This window comes from Homo sapiens, chromosome 6, assembly GCF_000001405.40.
Source record: "Homo sapiens chromosome 6, GRCh38.p14 Primary Assembly".
Lineage (NCBI taxonomy): Eukaryota > Metazoa > Chordata > Mammalia > Primates > Hominidae > Homo > Homo sapiens.
In genome coordinates, this window is record NC_000006.12 from 1,433,488 (window position 1) to 1,439,883 (window position 6,396).

General features: G+C 49.5%; 2 annotated features.

Moving 5' to 3' along the window:
• Window positions 272-942: an enhancer, noted in NCBI's record as "H3K4me1 hESC enhancer chr6:1433994-1434664 (GRCh37/hg19 assembly coordinates)". NCBI's record gives its function as "activates a minimal SCP1, AML or CMV promoter by ChIP-STARR-seq in primed H9 embryonic stem cells {active_cell/tissue: H9 hESC(primed)}" and the evidence as "EXISTENCE:reporter gene assay evidence [ECO:0000049][PMID:30033119]".
• Window positions 3,820-4,784: an enhancer, noted in NCBI's record as "H3K4me1 hESC enhancer chr6:1437542-1438506 (GRCh37/hg19 assembly coordinates)". NCBI's record gives its function as "activates a minimal SCP1, AML or CMV promoter by ChIP-STARR-seq in primed H9 embryonic stem cells {active_cell/tissue: H9 hESC(primed)}" and the evidence as "EXISTENCE:reporter gene assay evidence [ECO:0000049][PMID:30033119]".

Here is a 6,396-nt window from a genome sequence, read left to right on the forward strand (position 1 = left end):
TATACATTCGTCTAAATTTTTTTCAAAGTTTTTAACTTCTTTGCCTTTGGTTTGAATTTCCTCCTGTAGCTCGTAGTTTGATCGTCTGAAGCCTTCTTCTCTCAACTCGTCAAAGTCATTCTCCGTCCAGCTTTGTTCCATTGCTGGTGAGGAACTGCGTTCCTTTGGAGGAGGAGAGATGCTCTGCTTTTTAGAGTTTCCAGCTTTTCTGCTCTGTTTTTTCCCCATCTTTGTGGTTTTATCTACTTTTGGTCTTTGATGATGGTGATGTACAGATGGGTTTTTGGTGTGGATGTCCTTTCTGTTTGTTACTTTTCCTTCTAACAGACAGGACCCTCAGCTGCGGGTCTGTTGGAGTTTGCTAGAGGTCCACTACAGACCCTGTTTGCCTGGGTATCAGCAGCGGTGTTTGTAGAACAGCAGTTTTTCGTGAACCGCGAATGCTGCTGTCTGATCGTTCCTCTGGAAGTTTTGTCTCAGAGGAGTACCCGGCCATGTGAAGTGTCAGTCTGTCCCTACTGGGGGGTGCCTCCCAGTTAGGCTGCTCGGGGGTCAGGGGTCAGGGATCCACTTGAGGAGGCAGTCTGCCAGTTCTCAGATCTCCAGCTGCGTGCTGGGAGAACCACTGCTCTCTTCAAAGCTGTCAGACAGGGACATTTAAGTCTGCATAGGTTACTGCTGTCTTTTTGTTTGTCTGTGACCTGCCCCCAGAGGTGGAGCCTACAGAGGCAGGCAGGCCTCCTTGAGCTGTGGTGGGCTCCACCCAGTTCGAGCTTCCCGGCTGCTTTGTTTACCTAAGCAAGCCTGGGCAATGGCGGGTGCCCCTCCCCCAGCCTCGCTGCCGCCTTGCAGTTTGATCTCAGACTGCTGTGCTAGCAATCAGCAAGACTCCGTGGGCGCAGGACCCTCCGAGCCATGTGCGGGATATAATCTCCTGGTGCGCCGTTTTTTAAGCCCGTCGGAAAAGCACAGTATTCGGGTGGGAGTGACCTGATTTTCCAGGTGCCGTCTTTCACCCCTTTCTTTGACCAGGAAAGGGAACTCCCTGACCCCTTGCGCTTCCCAAGTGAGGCAATGCCTCGCCCTGCTTCGGCTCGCGCACGGTGCGTGCACCCACTGACCTGCACCCACTGTCTGGCACTCCCTAGTGAGATGAACCTGGTACCTCAGATGGAAATGCAGAAATCACCCATCTTCTGCGTTGCTCACGCTGGGAGCTGTAGACCGGAGCTGTTCCTATTCGGCCATCTTGGCTCCTCCCCCCAGCAATTTTTTTTTTTATGTAGAAATCGGGGGTCTCAATATCTTGCCTACACTGGTCTCGAACTCCTGTCCTGAAGCGATTCTCCTGCCTCAGCCTCCCAAAGCACTACGATTACAGGTATGAGCCACCACACCCAGCCCCGTAGAATTCTTATAATGAGGGGGAAAAAACCCAAAACTTAAAATTCAGAGCCTGGCTTTTCTGATAATATAGATGAACCATTATCTATGCCAATCTTCTGTGATTCATTCACACCCCTGCTCCTGCCCACATGAGCACTAACCTCTCTGGACTTCCTTCTCCTCATCTGAAAACCTGGGACTATGAAACTCACCTCACCATTTTGCTTAGAGAATCAATAAGTTAACATTTGAAAGTTACTCCTTTCCTATGCCTCATCTTCTTTCAAAGATGAAACTAAATAACTCTATAATGCTTCCCTGACAAGGAGTTTGGTGTAGTTTTATTTAAAATGACCATGTTGTAAAGAGGGAAGTGGAAGGAGAGTTGATTAATAGGGATAATGTTCCAAATGTCTGGGAAATATAAGGCAGGTATCCTATTAATACACATCAACAGGAACTGTAAGAAGCTGCTGGGAAGCTCTTCTTCCATGTTAGCCTGGGTGTATGTGCCTAGCAATGCTTAAAAGGATGCACTGAACAGTGATGGTGAGGATGTGGAGAAACTGGAACCCCTGGGCAGCTGCCGCGGAAAACTATACAGTGATTACTCAAAAAAGGTAACCTAGAGGCCGGCCATGGTGGCTCACGCCTGTAATCCCAGCACTTTGGGAGGCTGAAGCGGGCGGATCACCTGAGGTCAGGAGTTGGAGACCAGCCTGTCCAACATGGCGAAACCCCATCTCTACTAAAAATACAAAACTAGCTGGGTGTGGTGGCATGCACCTGTAATCCCATCTGCTTGTGAGGCTAAGGCAGGAGAATTGCTTGAGCTGGGAAGGTGGAGGTTGCAGTGAGCCGAGATCACACTACTGCACTCCAGCCTGGGCGACAGAGTGAGACCTTGTCTCAAAAAAAAAAAAATGTAACCTAGAATTATCATCTGACCTAGCAATTCCATCTGGGACATCCACAAAAGAATTCACAGCAGGGTCTTGGATAGATATTTGCCTCCCATGTTTATAAGAGTGTTATTTACAATGTCAAGGAGTGCAACCAGCCTGGCGTCCATCAGCAGATGACTGGACAAACAAGAGGCCGTCCATCCATACAATGCAGTGTGAGTCAACTTTAGAAAGGAAGGAAATCCTGAGACGTGCAACGGCATGGATGAACCTTGAGAACATCATGCTCAGTAAAGCAAGTCGGTCTCAGAACAGATAAATACTGTGTGGTTCCACTCATACGAGGTATCCAGAGGAGTCAGGTTCATGGAGATGGAGAGTAGAATAAGGATTGCCAGGGGCTGGGGAGAGGGGGAATGGGAGCTAGTCTTTAATCAGTGCAGAGATTTATTTACAAAATGAAAAGAGTTTTGGAGATGGGTAGTGGTGATGGTTGCACAAGAGTGTGAATGTACTTAATGCCACTAAACTGCACACTTCAAAATGGTTAAAATGCCAAATTTTATGTTATGTGGCCACAATAAAAAATAAAGAAAAAAGCAATCTGTGGTTGCAGGGTGGACCTGTTCCCGAGAGGGGAAGGAGAGGTCCCCCTTAGCTCCTGGAGGGGTGCTGGGACTAAAAGACTCACTCTGATGGCATCTGGGCACCTCCGCCAGTGGGCCCGGAGGGTGCAGAGAAGTCTGCAGCTCTAGACGCCACAGCAGAGCCTCTGCCCGCCCCCCGCTCTCCAGAATTATGTTCATGAGGGCAGATAGACAAGATTAGCCTCAGACACAAAACAGCAGCAGAGAAGGCATTGCCCTAATGGTAGGGAACACATACTTTGCAGACACCTAGATTCAAGAGAACGTGTGTAATGTAAACGTTGGAAGAAAGCCAGGAGCCTCTCAAAACTCCAGGTTAGAAGACAAGGGAGGCAGGATATGGGGGAGCAAGATGCCTTTTTTTAAAAAGTTGTTACCGGGTTTTTCAGAGCAATAGTTAAAAGGGAAGGTTTCTTTTATGATACGACACCGCCATCTCATGGACAAAACTCATATGACACAGAGTTTCTCTAAAGCGAGCCTGTCCCTCTACTGGGAGCTCTTAGCGTTGGCCCTAACAGCTCTACCTCCACATTAATACAGCATTCTCAGAGTCCACAAAGGAACATTCCATCTTTGCAAGCCAAATACTGGGGCAAAAGTCAGATTCTCATCTCATCTCCACTTCCCTCTGAGGCTTAGAAAGTCCTTTCAGCACTTGAATTTCAGTGAAGAGTCTGGACGCTGTCTCACACCAAAAACTCCCCCTGACGTGGGCACTGCAAGAGCACCCCCGTCCTGGTGATCAGAAAAAGCAAGTGTTGGCTTTATCACAGCCAGAAAATGAAACAGTCTGCGAGGAAAAGTATCCCCTCCATGCTCATCACCATTAAATGGCAAGTTCGACTTCTCTTATTTCCTAATTTAAAATTGTTTTTTTAAGAGATGGGGTGGATCTCACTATGTTGACCAGGCTGATCTCAAACTCCTGGCCTCAAGAGATCCTTCCATCTCAGCCTCCCAAAGTGCTAGGATTACAGGCATGAGCCACCGCACCCAGCCTCCCAATTTTAAGTTGTATGAAGATGTTTCTAGGAGTCTTTGTTCTGGCCTCAGGCTGTTGTCATTTTTCTGTGCTGTGTTTTTACATTGCTGTGTGGAAATTCGTTTTGATAGTGTGCTGTTTCTTGGATGTATTTGTCCAAATCAGAGCTTAAATGAAGAAAGTCTGTTTTTAAAGCAAGTCTTGGATTCACTCAGCAAAGGCTCTGGAGCATCCACTCTGGCCTGGCCACACGGCAAGCTGCAGGGCAACAGGTGGAGACGCAGCCCGCAGTCTGCACCGGCCCCAGAACCATCTTCCCCTTAAATTGTAAGAACTATCCCCGGGGGGAAAGTGAGGACATTAGGTGCAGTGTGGGCCTGGGTGTCTAGGACCGCGCATGTGGGGGCTGCAGGTGGAGAGAGGCAGTGATCTCAGTTGGGCAGGGAGTTTGTGCCTCTGAAGGACTTCATTGTTTCTCGTGCTGTCTCTGGCACGGTGTCTTGGGCCTGGAAAAATGAGCACAGGTTGGAAAGAATCTCAGAGCCCAGGGGCTGCCAGTGTCAGAGCTCGGGCCGTGCTGGGTGCCTCACACCGGGGCTGCCCTTCGGGTCTCCATTCCCATCAACACACACACACACACACATTCTGGCAACTTCTCCCATCTAAATAAAAAGGCAGTCCCCCCACCCCACCCCCACCCCCACCCCACCTCCGCCCCTTTCCATTCTGAGTCCTCAGCTCCTTTGATTTCTCAGGGCACCTGATGCAGGCTCTCGGCAACTCCCTCCTAGAGACCCCTCCTTTCTGGCCTCCAGGACTCACCTCTCCTCGCTTGCTCCTCGTCCCTCAGGTCTCCCCTGCTGTTTCCTCTCATTAATCAATAAGCACTAGAGCGCACCAAGCCTCTCTCCTCTCATCCCACCCAGCTCCTGCCTTTCAAAACAGTCGCTATGCTAATCACTCCCAAACGTGTTGCTCTCCCCCAACGCCTTAATCACCTGCCTACCTGGCACCTCTGTTCCTGTCCCATAGATTACCCTAGATGAAGCACGTCCAGAATTAAACTCCTGATCTTCCATGCAAAAGCCTGATCCTCCCACAACCCCGCAGAGCACCACGACCCCGAGCCCTCACTGGCCCTGATCCAAAGCCCTGAGCTCCACTGTGACCTCCTTCTCTCACACACCACCTCTGATCCATCAGAACAGACCTCTGTCCAAACATGCTTCTCCAGCACGCCCACCACCCTGGCCAAGCCGGGGTCAGGGCTGCAGCCTCCTCCAGGTCTCCCAGCCTCCGGTGGCTACACATCCTCTCGTCCCGGCTTCGGCCCCTCCAGGGGCCTCCCGTCTCACTCAGGGGAACCCTAGGGGCCTGGTTTTACCTACGGGGACTAGCCTGAGCTGCCCTGGAGCACCCTACTGCAGCCCTCTGGGCGTCACCTCTCTGCCCTCTTCCCTCCCTTCTCCTGCTCCTCCCTGGGCTGCTACAGCAAACTTCCCACTGGCCGGGCCCCTTATCCCCGTGTGCCAGGCTCCCTGCCTCCCACCTGCATGCCTCAGAGCAGCCACCTGCTCCCCCCACCCAGCCTTTACCCTGCATGTACCCAGCCCTCTGGTGTGCAGCGTCTGCCTGATCCCCTAACCCCTCCACCTTTACCTTTCCCGCCACATGTACCCCGTCCTCTTATTCCAGTAAGTTCCCTCCAGGCACGCACTTTTGCTGGTTTTCTTCACTCCTGCATCCACTGCACCTGGCCTGTGATGGAATCTTCATCCACAGAGAATTGAGTATCTGATAAAGGACTTGCTTGCAGCATATATAAAGTGTTCTCCAAACTCATTCATCATTTTTTTAAAAACCCAATTTTTTAAAAATGGACCAAAGATATACACTGAAAAGATGTTCAACAGCTTTGGTCACTAGAGAAATACAAGTTAAAATGGAATTATTACCACCGAGCTGTACAATTAAAAATGGTAAAGATGATAAATTTTATGTGTATATTTTATCTCAATGAAAAATAAAATTAAAAAGAAAAAGAAATACAAATTCAAGCCACAGTAAGTGACCACCGCCCTCCTTTCAGAATGGCTAACTAAATAGCCTGGCCACAGCCAGTGTTGACGAGGAGGCGGAGGAACCGGACTTCGCAGACACTGTGACGGAAATGAGAAATGCTGCCGTCACTCGAGAAAAGAGTTGGCAGTTTCTTTAAAATTCAAATATACGCCCACCTTCCCACCCAGACAGTCCATTGTTAACTTTTTACCCTCCAAAACTGAAAATATGTGACCACACAAAGACTTACCCAGGAAGGCTCATAGCAGCTTCATTTGTAAGAGCTCCAAACTGGAAACAACTTACATATCCATCAATGGGTAGATGTGGAAACACAATCTCAAGGATAAATGCATTGAGTAGCATCCATTCAATGGGACACCACTCAGCAATAAAAAGCAATGAACTGGGC